General features: G+C 40.8%; 1 protein-coding gene and 1 long non-coding RNA gene across 10 annotated transcripts in view; one reads left to right on the top strand and one right to left on the bottom strand.

The window, feature by feature from the left end:
* WDFY2 (WD repeat and FYVE domain containing 2) overlaps positions 1 to 19901 on the top strand; it is a 183248-nt gene that overhangs the window by 136431 nt on the left and 26916 nt on the right. For all 9 annotated transcript variants that reach the window (XR_007063659.1, XR_941483.2, NM_052950.4 and 6 more), the window contains 2 exons: positions 6786 to 6898; positions 18157 to 18283. Coding sequence is in view for 7 of the 9 variants with exons in the window: in NM_052950.4 (NP_443182.1) it covers positions 6786 to 6898; positions 18157 to 18283 (240 nt within the window). In the remaining 2 variants the exon portion in view is untranslated. The remainder of the gene's footprint in view (positions 1 to 6785; positions 6899 to 18156; positions 18284 to 19901) is intronic.
* LOC124903177 (uncharacterized) lies at positions 1361 to 18206 on the bottom strand. The gene is made up of 2 exons (XR_007063807.1): positions 18121 to 18206; positions 1361 to 1561 (listed from the first exon to the last, which is right to left on the bottom strand). It is a non-coding gene; the product is annotated as an uncharacterized LOC124903177 (long non-coding RNA).

The following is a 19901-nucleotide window of genomic DNA, read 5'->3' on the forward strand; positions in this document are numbered from 1 at the left end:
GGAATTAGGTTTTGACATATGAATTTTGGGGAGACATAATCATTCTGTCTTCTCTCTCTCTCTCTCTCTCTCTCTCTCTATTTCACACACACACACAAACACACACACTGTCACTATGCGTGGTGATGGATGTGTTAATTAATTTGACCATGATGATTATTACACAGTGTGTATGTATATCACATCATCACATTCAACATTTTGAATATATACAATCTTTGTCAATTAAATACTTTTTTAGAATTCAGTCTACACTACCCTCATTTTACAGATGAGCTGGCTGAAGCCCAGAAAGGGTCCTATGTCTTATCTGAGGCCACCCAGCTAGTAAGTAGGAAAATCCTCACAAGAACCCAGGCCTTCTGCCTTGGACTCCTGTTTTTTTCCCATTATACTGCATTGCTCCTTCAAGAAGGAACTAATGGCATCAATATAATTTGGTCTTATGCTGGTTTCTGTATCACTTAGCCAAGCCCAAGGAGTATGGAAAAAAAATACAGATCTTGCCTCAGGAAGCTAACTTTTTAAACTATTTGAAAATAAAAAACAAATGGACAATGTCCAATTTGCCCTGACTGTTGTCTTTGATGTAGGATTATAACCACCACAGCTCCTCCCTTCGAGCATCTCCAGGAGTCATCCTCATTTTGTGACTATTCCCTTTTGCCACACCATGTGGTTTACCAAGCAGAAAGTCGTATGATTGGGTATCAGAAGCCTGTGTGTGTGAGAGCCTCTGGTTTCAGTTCCATCCAGCCAGCCTCACTGTTCAGGTGGTAGAGAGCTGCAGTACTACAGACAGGCCCTCCCAGAAGATTCCCTGACCTCTGCCAGCTCTGCCTTGCCAACTATGATTTTGGAGCCATAGTTCCAACCTTTCCTCTTGAGTATTTTTCCATTGCTAAACACTGATGGCATGACAGCTCTGTGCTTTTGCCAGAGGGTCTCAGCCAAGAACCACGTGACTTTTCTAAGGCTGGAAGTTTTTTCTGGGAGCTGGCTGATAGATTGTTAATAGGCAAGCCATACAGTATTAGGGTTCACATTTAAATTTAGCTTTTAAAAACATTTCCTTCTGAGAACCTCCCACCCCCCACCCTTCTCTGTTCCTTCTTTTTGTCACCCTCCACACTTACAGGGGTTTTGGTTTCGTCGTTGTTTGTTGTTTGTTTGTTTTAGTGATGAAGGGAGGAGGAAGATTTTATGAATCAACATAAAAGATTATGAATAATATCATTAACCCTATTTATCTTCATAGTAGACAGCTAATGGTAGATAAGAGACCTCCACAGATGAACTCATTCTCTTCTATCTCCACCTCAAACAGTCATTCAGCCAAGGCAACAAGTGACAGACTAAATCAGATTGAATTCAGCCTTTATTCCTCTTCTTTCAGGCGTCTTAGTGGAGAAGTAAATATGCAATGAAAATAACCAAAATTCAAGTAGAAAAGTAAAGGAAGACAAAGAGACTGGTTCATAAATTGAATTATCAATTTATGAATAACTTCAAATTCTTTGATTGTTTTGACCGAAGATCTGAAGCTTCAAATATAAATGACCTGTAATAGGAACAACAAGAATGACAATAATAAGAAGGAGAGAAAAGGAAAAGGGAAAAGAAAAAAATCTCAGATTTGCAGGCCCTGAAAATGTCTTAGATTTTCAGTCTTTTACACATTACTTTGTTCACTGTCAAAACAATAATGTGAAGTAAAAACAAAAGACCTAATTCTCTGTTTTCACAGTGTAGAAACCAAGGCTCAGGGAGTAGGTGACTTGCTCAAGGTCACGTAACTGTTAGCCGGCAGAACCAGCATTAGAATTGGGGGATTGTAATTTTTCAGCCAGCCCTCTGCACAACTGGGTACAGCAGAATGGGGTTATTTCCCAAAGACCCCATGGCAGGTAGATGATAGTAAATAGAAATGTGTTCCTTCCCCACTTCACTTGTTAGTCTTTAAATTTGTGAATACTTTATCCAGCGTCATTTGTCAGTGTCTTGTTATTTGACCATGTTTTGATAATATTTTTCCTGTTTTCACAAAAATAATTCAAATATTCTATTTTAGGATTTTGTTCATGTCAGAGATATTTCCACAATGTCACCCTGTGTAGTGGAATGTTTCCCACCTAATGTAATCTCTTAGATTTATTTCTGTTCAGGTAAAGAGTTCTGAAAAGCTGTTAAGATTATGTCAATTTCTTCCTATCATACTTAATGCCAGTCATTCACATCCACTGTTGATTCTTCTATCCCTTTTTGCTTTCTCTCAATTTTTGCTGGAGTATTTTAAAGCAAATTCTAGACCTTATATCATTTTATCCTTATATACTTCATTGAAAATATATGGGTTACTTTTTCAGTAATCACAATGCTATTGTTACATCTAAAAATTAACAATCACTCTTTGATCTCCTTGATATTGTTGAATTTCAGATTTCACTGCTTATTTTGAAAATGGCTTTTGTGCAGTGGATTTGTTTGAAATTCGATCTAGACAAGATCCACACATTGCATGTGGTTGTCACGTCTTCTAAATCTTTCTTCATCCAGAGCAGTGCCCCCTTCACTTTTTTTTAATGCCACCGCCTTGTTGAAGGTACTGAATCAGTTCTCCTGCACACAGTCCCATATTCTAAATTGATGTCATTTAACTTGCTCCTTTACCTACTCTCCTCACATATTTTCAGTAAACTGAAAAACTGCCCCTATAATCTTGATTTCATTCAGATTCAGCCTTTTAGTGAGAGCATTTGGTTCTCACCAAGTGTGCTTCATAGAGCTTCCCATTATAAGGCACATGGCATTGGATTGTCGCCCTTTCAGTTATGCTGAGATTGATTGGCAGTTCGGGTGGTGACAGCCAGATCCCTGCAGCGCCGTCCTCCATACCAGCCTTTTAATAGTTTCATCCGTTGCTGAGCTTTGCCTGAACACTTTTTCGTTAAGGTTGCTAAATGGTGATTTTCTAATCCTATCATATTTTTCCCATGTATTTGTTGGAATCCTAAAGGATAACTTCCCCTGCCTCATTAGCTAGGGCTATTTGGTTACCCTGAAATACAATTATTATAGGAAAAGCAAGATAAATTCTTATATCTGTCTTTTTAGTTCCTAATTTTCAGAGTACAGATTTGGTGCCCTGCTCACCTTTAATAGGAATCTTTTTTTTTTCTTTTTGAGCACTATTATGAAATCTTAGGTTGGTTGGTTGTTTTTAAATAATAATATGTTCAGTATATATCAATAAACTGCCATCTTTTTATTTTATGTTCAAATTATCCTATTTTTGGCCAGTAATAGCTCCATTAAATGGGCTCCAATGTCTTTTTTAACTTTTTTTTTTTTTTTTTTTTTTTGAGATGGCGTTTCACTCTTGCCATCCAGGCTGGAGTGCAATGGCACTATCTCAGCTCACTGCAACCTCTGCCTCCTGGATTCAAGCGATTCTCCTGCCTCAGCCTCCCGGGTAGCTGAAATTACAGGCACTGACCACCGCGCCCAGCTAATTTTTTGTATTTTTAGTAGAGACAGGGTTTCACTATGTTGGCCAGGCTGGTCTCGAACTCCTGACCTCGTGATCCGACCGCCTCGGCCTCCCAGAGTGCTGGGATTACAGGCGTGAGCCATCGCACCCAGCCCAATTTTTATTTTTTAAAGATTATTTTTTAGAGCAATTTTAGGTGCACAGCAAAATTGAGCAGAAAGTATAGAGATTGCCTGTGCACCTCATGACCTCCACATGCATGGCCTCCCCATTACCAGCATCCCCCGCCAGAGTGGTATGCTTGTTAACAATCAGTGAACCTACATTGGCACGTCACTATCACCTGAAGTCCATAGTTTAGGGTTCACTCTTGGTGTTGTACATTCTATGGATTTGGACAAGTATATAAAGACATGTATCTGCCATTGTAGCATCATATGGAATAGTTTCACTGCTCTAAATAGCCTCTGTGCTCTACCAGTTCATCCCTTATCACTGTGTCTGAAATAAGCCCACTTAGCCTTCAGTAGCTTCCTTGCCTTCTGACTCAACATGTCTCAAGTTCATCTTGTACTTTTCCTGTCCCAATCCTGGAATCAGCCATTTTTTTAGTGAGGAACAATATTCAGAGATAGCTAAGAAGTATATATAAATGTGTGTGTATTTTTTAAAAGAGAATAAATCATAAGTTCATATAATATTTCTTATTCAAATTTAACATTATGGGATTTTTACTTTTTGGTTTTTGCACTTGATTCTTTTATCTTCGGCTGAAAATCTTGGTTGTTAAAACATTGGCATAGTTCCTCATTTGGTTTATCCTACGGTTTATTTAAATGGTTCCAAAATAATGAGCAATACTAAATAACAATAAGACTACTGAATGAGATTTTAGATTTCTTTGCAACTCTCTTTGTCCTTAGAATATATTCTACCAGTGATGGGGGCGAGACTTCCCCCTTGTCATAGTTCCCATTTGGAATCCTGTAATATTTTTACATATTAAAAATACATAAAATTTTTGCTCAGGCATGGTGGCTCACACCTGTAATCCCAGCATTTTGGGAGGCCAAGGTGGAAGGATCACTTGAGCCTAGGAGTTTGAGACCAGCCTGGGCAACAAAGTGAGACATTGAAACATTGAAAATGTTGTGTTTTAAAGGCACTCGAAATTGTTCTAATTATGTGATTATGTCACCAATTTGATAGGTTCATTCATTTTACTTTGTTTTCAATTTGGGGGATTTTTTGAGATATATATGTGTATGTATATACATATGTGTGTGTGTGTGTATATATCTATATATACACAATTTTTTTTTTTTTTTTAAGACAGGGTCTCACTGTGTCACCCAGGCTGGAGTGCAGCGGCTTGAACATGGCTCACTGCAGCTTCAATTTCCTGGACTCAAGCAATCCTCCTGTGTCAGCCTCCCATGTAGCTGGAACCACAGGCATGTGCCACCATGCTCAACTAATTATTTTAGTTTTTGTAGAGATGAGGTCTCACTTTGTTGCCCAGGCTCAAGTGATCCTCCCTCCTTGGCCTCCCAAAGTGCTGGGATTACAGGCATGAGCCACTGTGCCTGGCCACAAATTTTTGTACCTTTTAATATGTAAAGATTTTACAAAATTCTAAAATAGGAACTATGACAAGGGAGAAGTCTCACTGCCATCACTGTCCCCTGACCTTGCCACTTTTGTTAGATCTTAATCCCTCTAGTGCTTCCCTTTCTAAATATGAGTGCATACATGCACATGCACACACATACATACACATTTGTATTTCTCTCTGTTTCTTACACAAAGGTAGTATAGCTTATAAACTCTCATATGCGTTGGCTGCCCCCTCCACACACACTTGATAATATATCCTGGTGTCTGTGTATAAAGATCTCCATTTTTACCCCAGCTGCATAATATTCTATTGTGTGGATGTAGCATAGTTAATTCAGTAAGTCCCTTATTGATAGACGTTTGGGTTATTTTCAAACTTTAGCTATTAAAATAACATGGAGTGACTAGCCTTGGGCATGTGTCATTCTGTATTTTTGCCTGTGTGTCTCTGGGTGGATCTTTAGAAATAGGGTTGCTAGGCTTTGTCAACCAGAGAAGCTTGTTAGAGACTCCATGCCTAGGGCTTTTACTGGTCACGTAGGCAGATCTACCTGGGACATTCCAAAATTCCAGATTCCCAGAAGGAAAGCAGGTATTCAGTGTAAGCCACATTATTTGAACAGTTAAGGCACAGTGAGCCACTCTTATCAGTTAATGGTGGGAACCTTCCCAAAATCCAAATTCCCAGACACTATGCCAACTTCGTAAGCCGACTTTCAGAGGATCACAGTCAGAGCTGCTGTGTTAACTCTTTTTTCACAGCACCATTTTGATTTCTTCTTGAACTATCTATTAATAGTTCCATTCAAATTTTGCCCATTTTTCTATTAGGTTTGGGATCCTTTTCTTCTTGATTGCTCTTTTTATATTAGAGATTTGGGCCCTTTGTGACATAAATTGCAAATATTTTTTTCCAGTTTATCTTTTGGCTTTGCTCATAATATTTGTTGTGTTTTTGAGTCATAGCTTTTCCCACTCCAAGGTTACAAAGAAACTTTCCTATCTAAAGCTTATGTTTTCATTTTCTACATTTAGATCCCTAATTCATTTGGAATCTGTCCCAGTATACATTGTGAAATACAGATTCTATTTTCTTTTTCCAAATGGCTATCCAGTTTGTGCCAACATCATTTTTTTAAATTCATCTTTTCCTTATTCATTTGAAAAGCTACCTTCATCAGACATTTACTAAATTTCATTGTGCTTTTGGGTTTATTTCTCGACTTTGTATTCTGTTCTGTTAGTCTATTTATGCACCAATACTACACTTTTAATTAAAGAAACTTTATAACATTTTTTAATATCTGGTAGGGCTAACCTCCCTATCACATACCATATTGTTCTTATTTTCAGAGTATTCTTGGCTCTTTTTGCTTATTTATTTTTCCATATGAACACTTCTGGCTATAGAAAACAACATGTGTTGATATTTTTTAAATATATAGATTTATTTTATTAATTTAGGAGCAAGAAGTGACATCTTTAAGTTTTAAGTCTTACTGTCCAATAATACAGTATGTCCTTCATTTAGTTAAGTTCACTTTTGTGTCTTTCAGCACTGTCTTCACATTTTCCTCAGATGGGATTTGCGTATTTCTTGTTACATTTATGCCCTGTTTTTTCATTGTAAATTCCCTCATTTAATTTTGAGAAACAATCCTTAATGCTTTCATGACAGATTTGATGTTGAAACCCGGCATGTGTTTATCGGTGACCACTCAGGCCAAGTAACAATCCTCAAACTGGAGCAAGAAAACTGCACCCTGGTCACAACATTCAGAGGACACACAGGTAGGATTAACAGTAAAATCGTCATGTGCTGATAGCACAGTGAGATATCGCCTGCTGCATCTCCTGATGTTCAGATATGTTTTGAAAGTGGCAAAGTACAATCCATGCTTGTGCAAAGATACACATGATATGCTTAACTCATTTCAAAATGGTTCAGTAAGATATAACATCAAACGTTTTTCTGTATAATCCAAACAAAAGAGAAACCAATCTATTTTGAAAATGTTGATAATTTGGTTCTCTGTCATACTGCACCAGAGAAAGCCAGTGTTGGCATACATTAATGAGGCATTGTTTGAGACCATGTGGCCTCGGACGGCTCAAACCCCAGAAGGCCAAAAAGACAGCTGCCTCGGTCTGACCTTGCCCTTCCTGGAGTTAGAAGATGGTGTACAAGAAAGATTCCCACTTCCAAGTCACATGAAAAGACAGATATACTCTTCATGAGTAGCTAGACTTTGTGAAAAAGGTCAAGTTCCTCTCCAACTTTCCTTCCTTCATATCCTTTTCAGGTTAAAACCTAAGGTCCCCTTTATGTTTTTGCTTTGCTCAGGGTCACTTAAGCAAGGTAATATAAAATATTCATGCTTAGCCTTTGAAAGACTTGATAGATGATAATGATTAATTTTTTACTAGTAGTTTTAACGTGTACTATTGACTCTAGAACTTATCGACCCTAGAAAATGAGTCATCGCCAGTTTTCATGGTTCTTAAAGGGCTTTTCCGTTTTCTACCAGCTACAAACCCATGATTTTGTGTAAAACAGGAGAATACTGAGTTTAGATGTCATATAAGAAAAAAAGTAGGGGAAAGAGGATGTAAAATTGGATAGTACCTGGTTCATAAGGGGCTTCCTAAAGGGAAAAAATGGAATGCTAGAATAAGAAACATATAGTAAGGAAAAAATTGAATCCAAGGAAGAAGATTCATAAAAGATCATCTTAATTATTTATGCCTTTGGGAGGAAGAACACATGGAAATATCCCCTATGGATAGGACCCTGGTCTTCCCTGACTGAATTTCTTTTTTAGCCGCTTACACCCTCACCTACACTTTGGCCAAGACTGGGCCTGGGGTTCTGGGGGGGACCCAGAACTGTCCCACCTCAGAAGTCTTAAACTTCTGTGCGTCACTGCAGACTTCAGCCTCCTCATCCTCCAATTCCCTACACCTTTCTTCATTCCACTTACTGTTTCCCCTTGTGGCGCATTCTAGCCCGCGGTCCTTCCATTTTCCCAGCGTCTCTTCCCCTGCATCACCTTTCCTCCCAGTGGTGCATCGCTTCACCCACGGCTTCTCAGCGTTCTCAGTTCTGTGAATGTAAATGTTCTGCCTTCTTGGCAAGCCTGTCTGATTCAGACTAACTCTCCACCTTTTCTTCTTGTGCAGCCAGCTGCTGGGTCTACAGTAGTCACGCTGCCTTGAGGCTTAGACCATCATTACCATTGCACACTCACGATTTCCTGTGCAGACTCATGAAGTTGCCTAATAATCCCTCTCCCTGTCCTCAGTTCACTCCTTCTCCCAGGCCCCTAAACAGAGACCTTCACCATCCTTCCCAAGCCCCCATCGCCATCTCATTCCTTGCCTCTTCCTTCAAAAGCTATCAAATAGAAGCTTTAAAAAAAAAAAAAAAACCACATATTTCTTGCCCACTGTATATCCCCCTCACCCCAACAAACAAACTTTTTCTCTCCCCACTTCTCCTCTTCTCAGTGCAGGAGAGCTGCCTTCCTCCAGCCCATTCTTCTCTTCTCAGTGCAGGAGAGCAGTCTTCCTCCAGCCCATTCTTCTCTTCTCAGTGCAGGAGAGCTGCTTTCCTCTGGCCCCAGTCTATTTGCAGGGTCTCCACGCCAAAATGGATTGCCTTGATCTCTCTTTTGACTAACTCATTCTTCTCAATTTATTAATATGCTTATGTTTTTTGCCTCTGGTAGAAAAACAAAGCAACACCCTCTCAATCCCATGTCTTATAGCAAGTTCCTTCTTATTCTCTTAATAGCAATGCTTCTTTTTAAAAAATTGTGGTAAAATGTATAAAACATAAAGTTTACCATTTTAACCATTTTTAAATGTGCTGTTCAATGACATTAACTACATTCACACTGTTGTGCAGTCATCACCATCCATCACAGAACCTTTTCCATCTTGTGAAACTGAAACTCTGTTCCCTTGGACATTAACTCCCCATCCTCCCCCTCGGCCCCCCAGTCCCTGGAAACTGTTACTCTGCTTTCTGTTTCTATGAATTTGACTAGTCTAGGTGACTCATAGGAGTGGAATCATGCAGTATTTGTCCTTTTGTGACTGGCTTATTTCACTCAGCATAATGCCCTCAAGGTTCATCCAAGTTGTAGCAAACAATCGTGTTTCTTAAAAGAATATAATTTTCCCAGCTGCTTCATATTTTTCACTTCCAATTTGCCTTCCAGCTCCCTGCAATCTGGTTTGTCGTTATTACGCCACTGAAACTGCTGTCCCCGAGGTGACCAGTGGCCTGCTGGGACACGTTGTAAACCTTGTCGTACTTAACTTTTCAGCAGCATTTTACATTGTGGCCATTCCTTCTGGCTGTAACGGCCTTCCTTTGGCTTTTCTTCTATGACGCTGCTGGCTTTCTCAGGCTCCACTGTGGTCTGCGGTTTCCCAGGATCTTCCCTGGATCCCCTTCTCTTTACGCTCTGTGCTGTCCCTTGTCATCTCAGCCATTCCTCCCAGTCCCAGAGTAAAATTGTCATTGTCCTCAAATTCTTCACAACCCAGTGAGAGAGACAAAAGCTAAAGCACAGTTCTAGTGCATCGTGGCAAGGGCTGGTGGGGAGCAAGCACCTTGCGCTTCTGGGAACACAGAAGGGCAGCCCACTCCAAGGAAGTGGAGGCAGTTAGTGACGGCCTCCTCAGGAGTCTGCCTGACCTCAGCTCTTTGGGGATGTGTAAGTATTGAGTTCATGGAAAACAACTGAGAAGAGTATCTCAGGCAGAGAAAACCAGCGTGTTCAAGGCAAGGAGATGTGTGAGAGCATGGCTCTCTAGAGAACTGCCAGTCACTCTTTTTTGGCAGGAACACTGGGTATGAGGGAAGGAGAGGGGAGGTCAAGGTGGAGGGGCAGCCAGAAAGCAAGAGTCACTTCCCATCACTGAGACCATGCTGGGCATATCCAGTGGTCACTGAGAGACCATTAAAGAGTTTGAAGCAAAGAAGGTAACCTGATTGGATTTTAAAAGGTTGTCTGGCAGTAGAGAGTGGAATTGGAAAGCTAGTAGGGAACTGTCCCTTGAGATGGGACTGTGACAGTGGGAAAACAAGGAATGGATGGATTCAAGGTAGGATTCAGAGGTGCATTCCGCAGGCCTGGTGATGGACCTGATGGTTCCCAGGTTTGCTTTAGGCAGAGGTGGCTTTCAGCCTGACTTCTTGACTCTAAAGTAATCAGGCACTCACCCACTCACTGTATGGTGGCTGATAGGAGCTCTGTGAGTTTTGTATTGTTGCCTCCAGGTCAGAAAAGAGACAGTAGCACCTTCTAAGCACTCTTGTCAGCCACATATGGTTCAAAGGTCCCGTGTTTTGCAGGCTTGTTCTGATACGAAATATGACCTTGGCATTGTGTCTTATCTTTCTTAAAGAGTTTAAAGCATTTTCACTTTATTTTTATCAAGAAATATATTTGAGAAAAACAGGAAATGGCCTAGGAAGGTCACTAACTAACAGGAAGGCAAATGTAGCAGGTTAGATGGTTACCTTATTATTGTTCCTAAACAGTAGTATCTGCCCATCACTAATGTGGCTACAACACAACTCATTCCTGTAAAGCTAGAGTGAGGACCTTTAAGAGAGTCCATGGTGATTTAGACATATTGTTGAGCTCTTCCTAAGTAGTAGGCTCGTTCTGGGCCCTGGGAGGTCCCAAACACAGCAAGTCTCAGTTCTGGGAAAGAGATTTTTGTAAGGACAAAATGAACACCCTAAAGTTAACCCAGTTCCATTAAAGGGCAGCTTTGCAGGTCCCATCACTCCAAATCCAAACTCAGAAGCAGACAGGTCTTCAGTATGTGTCCAGAGTCGTAGCCCTTCACCCCATCATTCTCTCTTACAGTACAGAAGGTCATACAAAAATGTGGGTTAATGAGGGAATCGACCTAGTAGTCATGTCCAAAGGCCAAAGCATAACATTTTTCTAATCCCTAGGGATTTAGGAAACTAGTTTTATGTTCTTATGCTCCCTCTACTGGTTTTCTTTCTGGAGCTAAATGCCGGATATCATAGTTCTTTGCTATTTCTGCAGAAAGTAGAATGTATTTCTATGAAAAAGTCGTAAAGTAACTTGAACAGAGGAGAATTTTTTTTTTGTTTTTTTGAGACAGAATCTCGCTCTGTCGTCCAGGCTGGAGTGCAGTGGCATGATCTTGGCTCACTGCAACCTCCATTTCCCAGGTTCAAGCAATTCTCCTGCCTCAGCCTCCCTAGTAGCTGGGACCACAGGTGCCCGCCACCATGGCCGACTAATTTTTGTATTTTTAGTAGAGGCAGGGTTTTACCATGTTGGCCAGGCTCCTGACCTCAAATGAACTACCTGCCTCGGCCTCCCAAAGTGTTGGGATTACAGGCATGAGCCACCGTACGTGGCCAAAAATCATATTTTGACCACTGGAAATTAATAGTGTTAATACAGTCTTTTTTCTTTTATTTCTAAGAAATTATTTTATTAGCATGAACATATTTGAAACAGGAGGGCTTGAATGTAAATCTGCCAAAGCATACTAATTAATGAATAATTAAATACAGACTTGTTCATGAGCTGTTAGGGGACTCATTGAAGGAAACAGTGTAACTATAACAAGAATAACTAAACAAACTAAGAAAGTCACAGTTCAGTGTAAAGATGCAAGTTCATATAGTTTAGAACTTCAATTTTTGTTTACAGTGGAGACTCACACAGATCCAGTTTATATAAAGTGCAGGTCAAGAGATGTGAATTGTCATCCATAGTCAGTCATCCGCTCTCTATGTATATGATGGTGCCAGGAAATGTGGGTGAATAAAACAAGCATAATCTTTGCCCTTATCCATCTTCCAGCCAGCATGGAATGCATGCATTAGACCAGTAGTTACAGAGAATTCATCCAAACATTATGAGTAGCAGGTGCCGTGGAGCCCTGATGTGCACAGAGGCTTCTTTGGAAGCAAATAATAAAAGGTCCACTCCTCTTGCGGATAATTAAAGGGAGGCTTCCCAAATAAGTGTGTTTTTGTTTTTGTTTTGAGACAGAGTCTTGCTCTGTCACCCAGGCTGGAGTGTAGTGGCACGATCTCAGCTCACTGCAACCTCCATCTCTTGGGCTCAAGCAATTCTCCTGCCTCAGCCTCCTGAGTAGCTGGGATTACAGGTGCACGCCACCACACCCATCAAAGTTTTTTTATTTTTAGTAAAGATAGGGTTTCACTATGTTGGTCAGGCTGGTCTTGAACTCCTGACTTCAGGTGATCCGCCCACTTCAGCCTCCCAAAGTGCTGGGATTACAGGCGTGAGCCACTGTGCCCAGCCAGAAGTGGTGTTTAAATAGCACCTTAAGGAGAAAAAGGAGTTATGTAGGTGGTGGGAACATTCCAGACCTGCAGAACAGCAGCCTAGAGTGGGAAAATGTTAGCAACCACACAAAGGCAAGTGACCTTACAAGTAGTGGTAGGAGCTTCAGGCATTATTCTCAGGTTGGCGGGAAACCAGTGATGAAGTTTAAACAGAGTAGTGACATGGTTTGCATTTTAATAAGCCACTGTGGCAGCAGTAGGTGGTAGATTGACTGGGAACAGAATGGATGGAGGGAGACTGTTTAGGAGGCTACTGCTGGAGTCCCTTGGAAAGCTGACTTTGTTTGGACTGGGGGACAGCAGTGTGTGTGGAGACAAGTGGAGGAGATTTAAGATCTGTTTGGAGAACAGGGGTCAGCCGCATTTGGTAACTGCATGGAGTAGCAGTGACTCCCAAGGCTTCTGTCTAGAGCATGTATTGGCTGGTGATGGCATTTCCTGAAACCTGGAGTACTGCTGGGAGAGCAGGTCTAGGAGACAATAGCACTGTGCTTGAACTGAACACTTCCCTGGGGTGGCAGCAAAGAGACAGCTGGGTGAAGAGTTATGGATCTCAGGAAGAAGGTATACTCTAGAGATGGAGGGCCTTTAGCTTGACAAAAACCCTTGTCACTTCACTCTAGAGCAAAATGCAGCAATCAAAAGGTCAGATATTTTATTCAACAGGCTCTTAGTCTCCTTTAGCCTCATGTTGGCCTGCACATATTACCCTTGAGGGTGTGGTGTGACACTCCCTCTGCTAAGTTACCAGATCACACTCTGGGAAAGGCAGACCCAGCAGTTTCCAACCCTGATTTTGTAACACTCCACGTGGTCATTCACTTTTGCAAGGTATGTGGTAAAAGTCTCAAAAAAAAATTAGTTCCCTAAGCATTTTGGTAATATATATTAAATTTCTAAAAATCTTTATACTCTCTGATTCATTTCTACATTTGGGATTCTCTTCTAACTAATTGGAAACCTGAACAAAATTGTATGTGTAAAAATATTCATCTTAGAAAAATTCATACTTAAAAGTTGAGAAAAATCTAAAAATAGTTGAAATAAGATACATACGTGGGAGATATTAGCCAACCACTAACAGTTATATTTATGAGAGTATATAGTAGTATACATTGTATAATTATGAAAACTTTTATTTTAAAAATATTTTGGCGATTTTTTTATTTTGATAAAATACGTGTAACCTGAACTTTACCGTTTCAACCTTCTAAGTGTACAAGTAATGCACAAGTCAATGACATAAAGTACATTCACAGTGTTGTACAGCCATTGCCTCTATCCATTTCCAGAACTTCTTCATCATCCTTAATAGAAGACCTGTGCCCACTAAAGAATAACTAGAAAACTTTATTTGTAAGAATTAAACCATTTTTATTTAAAAATTATTCTGTAGGTCATATTAGGGAGGTCAAAGGAAGGGAGAAGCATAAAATGAAACACTGAAAGGGACCAGAAAGATGGATTAACTTGAAATGAAGTCAAATGAAATGGAAGAAATGCTTTTTGTCATTTAAAATAGAAACACTGGAAAACCACAAGCATTGAAGCCCTGGGCTCTGCCCCCAGTGTGGGTTGGGGTATGAGATATGTGTCTGCACTGCCTGGAATGCAGGGTAGCTGAAGGTGGTTGACTTCCTCTGCTGCCAGAAGTGTTAGGAGAAAGAACTATACAGTTCATCAGGAAGCCCTGTGTGCAGAGAGATGCAGGAAAAATTCCCTCAGAAGGGAGAGGCCGTTTCCATCAGCAGCTCTCCCCACTGCATCTCTGATCCTGATGTCTTGCACAGCCTTCCCACCAGCCGCCATCCCAGGCTGTCCTGGATGCCTCTTGCTTATTGTCCTCCTATTTCTCTCTGCCACTCAATGCAGCAGATCAGTTGAGTAAACATCTACTGAGCACCTCCTGCATACCAGTCACTGTGTGCTGTGCTGGAATACAAAGATACATAACCCAAAGTCTGCGGTGGGGACAGACTTATAATCCAACCAAGTTCAATATAGTGGGGTCTGTGTAGCAATAGAGATATGCACAGAGACTGGAACTTCACCTGGATTGAAGGTGTTGGGAAGGCTTCCTGGAGGGAGAAAAAGTTACTTGGGTGATAAAAGGCAGGACAGGCACTCCAGACAGGGGAAGCAGTCACATATCCCGTAAGAGAATGGCTCGACCAAACATAACGTGCATGCTCTTCTGTTCTCAAAAGTAATCCATCATCTTATCATTGTACATTTTTGGTAGGTAGAATGTAAGTCTTATTTCATTGTATCTGCTGAGCCTAGCACAGTTCCTCCACATAGAAGAGGCTCAATACATGCTTGTTGAACTGATTTGAAATGAATGCTGTGATTTATCATTTATAGGCCAACTTTCAAATGACCTCATTGTTAGGACATTTATATAGAGCAGGCATGGGACCCCAGAGTTATTTACTCCCTACACCATCCTAAACTTTTTCTTGTCTTGCAGCTTTTCCTTCTATCTCTTCCACTTTGGGCCCTGGGAGTGTCTGATGAATATACCCTGACTTGCTTTAACCAGTTTATCTATTTGCCTTCCTAACTCTCTGTGTTGCCAAGAACTCCCCTTCCTAGCCCTGACCCCTTCTGGCCTGATATAATGTGGCAAAGCTAGAGATTGGTCTTGTTTTTAAGACCTTAATTGATCTCATGATGGCTGGGATAGCATAGAATAAGCTGACTGGCCTTAAGGCTGACTCAACAAAGGACACTGTCACAGAGATTGTATAGATGAGGTCTCCTGTACTGTAATCATAGCTGACATTTGTTGAGTGGTGCTTCCCATGTGCTAGGCACTGTTGTGTGTGTTTATATATATTAACCCAATTAATCTCAACAATACTGTGGGTTAGGTACTATTATCATCCCTGTTTTACAGATGAGACTTCTGAGGCACAGAAACGTTAAGTAACTTGTCCAAGGTCCTATACCTAATAAAGATAGGGCTGGGATTTAAGACTAGATTCTGGTTCCAGAGCCTGTACACTTATAATACCATATCCAAACTTTCTCTTCTATCCCCATAAACCATCCTCATCCCATAGTCACCAACAAAGAAGGCAGAGAGCTGGCTCCTCATGGTGCAGTGTTTTTTGTTTTGTTTTGTTTGGAGACGGAGTCTCACTCTGTTGCCCAGGCTGGAGTGCAGTGGCGTGATCTCTGCTCACTGCAACCCCTGCCTCCTGGGTTCAAGCGATTCTTCTGCCTCAGCCTCCCAAGTAGCTGGAACTACAGGTGCGCGCCACCACGCCCAGCTAATTTTTGTATTTTTAGTAGAGATGGGGTTTCATCATATTGGCCAGGCTGGTCTCAAACTCCTGACCTCGTGATCAGCCCGCCTTGGCCTCCCAAAGTGCTGGGATTACAGGCGTGAGCTACCGCACCCGGCCCCATGGTGTAGTGTTCTTAGATGTGTAGGTATATATCGGTCAGGGAAGTCTAAAGGTATCTGTCACCTGGGTCATGGTAAGCCCTATTTCAATATTTCCATGTTGATTCTGACAGAATGAACAACCCTTCCAATTAAGTCTTTTTAACTGAGTCAAGTAAGCCTTTCTAATCATTCTTTTTACCAGTGCCCACCATTATTAAATCTGATAATGATGCCTTAAAGAACCTAAGCTACCCATTTCACGTGTTATATAGGGGAAATCAAACACTTGCCACCTTTCTCTTATCTAGCCCCCCAGTTGGAGTGGCTTAGTCAGTCAAGTGAGACCATCTCAGAGATTGTCCTTGAGATGGGTATGCCATGACCTAAAGATGTGAGTAGTCGAACAGATGCAGGCATCACATTAACAATAGTAGTCAGCCAGGCACATGCTTCCCATGCGCTAGGTACTGTTTTGTGTGCTTATATATATTAACCCATTTAATCTTAACTCATTTAATCTAATTAACCCATTTAATCTAATATTAACCCATTAATAGATGTCATATGCCTGTTTAATCTGCCAAGAACAAAGCCAAGGGCATTTCTTTCATATTCTTACTCCTTCATTCAATCATTTGCCCATTTGTCCAGGCTTATTGAGTGTTTGCTGTGGGTAAGCCAGGCAGAATTCTAGGTTTTGGTGATCCCGTGGTGAACAAGCCACAGTTCCCGCCCTCCTAGAGCTTCTATTCTACTGGGGCAGGAGACAATGAATTTAAAAAAAAAAAAAAAAAAAAAAAAAAAAAAAGAATAATCAGGAGAGTGATGAGTGTAGTCAAGGAAGATGTTTCTGAGGAGGTGACCTTTAAGCAAGAACTTGTGTGAAGTGGAGAAAATTATCTTTATGTTTGCATTCATCTGCTCCTTCATTCAGCAGACAATACATTTTAACAGACAACACAGTGAGCGGCCTGTCTGCATCCATCACTGTGTTTGGTTGCTGTTGTGGGGAATGTTGGTGGTCGGGGGTGAGGGCTGGGCTACATGCAGTGGCTAACCACATATGCACTTGGGGAAGCCATGTTTATTCTTACATGAGCAGGAGTGTATACCAGCAGCATGGGGTGCAGGTTTAGGAAGACGCTAGGAAGCATAATCCAGAATAGTAGAGTTTGGGGTTCCCCCTACTTTTTGATCTTAAAAAATGTCTTACTAAGAAGAGTCATATGACAAATAAGAAAGTATTCTCCTGAAACAAATGTATGAGAGAAACTTCCCTGAAAGCTCTTAAGTGTAGCACTTCATTAGAACAAACTGATAATCTCAATAAGAAAAATGTCAGATTCCAACAAATGAGAAGCTATTTTATGTTCTTTTCAGAATATAATATTTTTAATAATGTAAAAAATGAGTATTTCTGACATTCTTAAGTGTTTGCAGGCTTTGTGCACATCTTAAGTGGAAAAAATTCTTATTGTTCTCAGTATATAAGGGTTTGATTTACAAAGGGACTACCATAGAAAATCTATTATAATATTTTATAGCCATACCACTACAGTAATCCTAATAACCCACATCTATACTGCACAACAAGTTTAGAGTGGTAGAATGGTCCTATGTAATTGATCTAATTCTCACCACAACCGTATGAAGTAGGTAATGGCTGGGTTGATGTTTTCATTCTTAGTAATAGTCATAGTGGTCATGGTGTTACCATCATCTGCATTTTACAGTTGAGGAAACTGACATTTAAGAACATAAGAAGTTTGCCCGGAATCTGTAAATTAAAATTCCCAAAGAGCAAACATAATTTTAAATTCTGATATTGTGGCCTAATTAAATCTGATATTCAAGAATAAAAAATCTAATTGAGCATTTGTAAACCCATTTCCTTCTCATCTGTTATTGTCAGGGGTGGGAGGCAGGCAGCAGTTAAGAAAATGTGGTTAATATTTCCAAACAGTGCAATATTTTCCATTCTTCTTAGAATTATGTCTCCCTTTTGAAGGTCAATTTATTGTCTTTTTTATTTTCTTTTGGTCTTTACAGTAATTGATTTTATGGTACATGAAATGTTGGTGAAAAATGCTTAAAGGGTGGGAATTTCCTTGGAGCCAACTTTTTTCTCTTTGGGGACTTACTTGATTGTTCTTTCAATAAGAATTTATTGTATGCCAGGAACTGCACTAGGTTCTGTCTCCGCTGCATTCACATTTCTTTTGTGGGTAAGAGTCTTACCTTGTGACTGATGTCTGGTTGTGTCTGTCCTCTCAGGTGGGGTGACCGCTCTCTGTTGGGACCCAGTCCAGCGGGTGTTGTTCTCAGGCAGTTCAGATCACTCTGTCATCATGTGGGACATCGGTGGGAGAAAAGGAACAGCCATCGAGCTCCAAGGACACAAGTAAGGTTGCTGGTGCTTTCATAAAGACTCTGAGAAAAGATTCTCAGCTGACAGCTAGAACAAAGGAGTGCAGCCCAGTCTGTGGCAGGATCTTAGCATGGGAAGGAACATGGCGGGAACACAAATACTGGCCACTTTGATTTATAACTGTGTAAAACTGTGTTTATATACTTATACCCCATTTTATTCCACAGAGCATTTGAGAGTGCTTACAAAAACCATAAAATAAAGTAATGGCAGTGAATAAATAAAAGGTAAAAATTAGAACTGGGAAGAATATAACAGTAAAAATTTGAGAGTGAGGAAAAAAAAAAGCTTGAAAATACAAGCTGTGAAGGCTTACAAAATTTATATAATTGAGTTCAAATGTGGCTTCAAGCTCCTTGGCAGCATACGGAAAAGAGGAGAGGTAAGATCCTTCACAGTACATTTTGTACTTGACCAAATATTTATTGAGTACTTGCCTTGATTCATGTCAGGCTCTTTTTCCTTAAAGGATAGATTTTAGGGGGCTGAGAGGAAGTACAGAGAAAGCCTTGCATTTCCTTGGAGCAGTTCTCAAACTTTGCTGGGTACAGAGAATCTCTGAGATGTCCGGTCCCTGTCTGCTAAGATTCTGGTTGCCGTCCAGAGCGGTGTGGATCTGTGCTTTGACAAGCTTCCCAGGCAACTCCCCACTGGTGACCCTCAGCCCACACCCTGAGACGCCTTGCTGTCCCTGGGGCCAAAGCTTAATCTTTTTGCATAAAAGAATGTTAGATCTGCTTTACAACTCTAGTGCTCATCTGAATTGTTTTTTAGTTGTAAAGTTTTCAAAATGATATTGAGCAACCCTTGACAGCCATAAACAAATGTTTGTAATGCTTCTATGAACTAACCGGTTTTAAGCAACACTAGCTTTTCCTGTAAATCTGCTTGGAAACCCTAGTTTCAAAATATTCTCCTAAATAGTTAAATCTAGTTTGGAGTTGTTGGACATAAACTAATTAAATTTTGGATGGCAGGGCCTGTGTACAAATACTTGTTTTAGTTTTAGAATTTAGTGTTAGAGAAGTAGCTACTAAGCCCTTCTTTCTCATGTTGGAGAACAGAACAGCTGTCTGGGGTCACTCCTGGCTTGTGGGGCCACTCAGACCTTGTCATCAGTTCATTAGAGGAATCATTCCCTTACGTTTATCTTTATGACAAGGGAACACACATCCAGGTCCTGTAGAAGGAGTTCACATCATCCACGTAAGAGAAGAAAAAAGGAAGCCAGGGCCGGGTGCATTGGCTCACGCCTGTAATCCCAGCACTTTGGGAGGCCGAGGCGGGCGGATCACAAGGTCAAGAGTTTGAGACCAGCCTGGCCAACATGGTGAAACCCCGTTTCTACTAAGAATACAAAAAGTAGCCGAGCATAGTGGCGCGTGCCTGTAATCCCAGCTACTCGGGAGGCTGAGGCAGGACAATCACTTGAACCCAGGAGGTGGAGGTCGCGGTGAGCCGAGATCACACCATTGCACTCCAGCCTGGGCAACAGAGCAAGACTCCGTCTCAAAAAAAAAAAAAAAAGCCAAAGCACAGTTGTGTTTAATAACACTATTATCATCTAATCTGCCAGGAAATTCCTGCCAAC

This window comes from Homo sapiens, chromosome 13 (genome assembly GCF_000001405.40).
Source record: "Homo sapiens chromosome 13, GRCh38.p14 Primary Assembly".
NCBI classification, from domain to species: domain Eukaryota; kingdom Metazoa; phylum Chordata; class Mammalia; order Primates; family Hominidae; genus Homo; species Homo sapiens.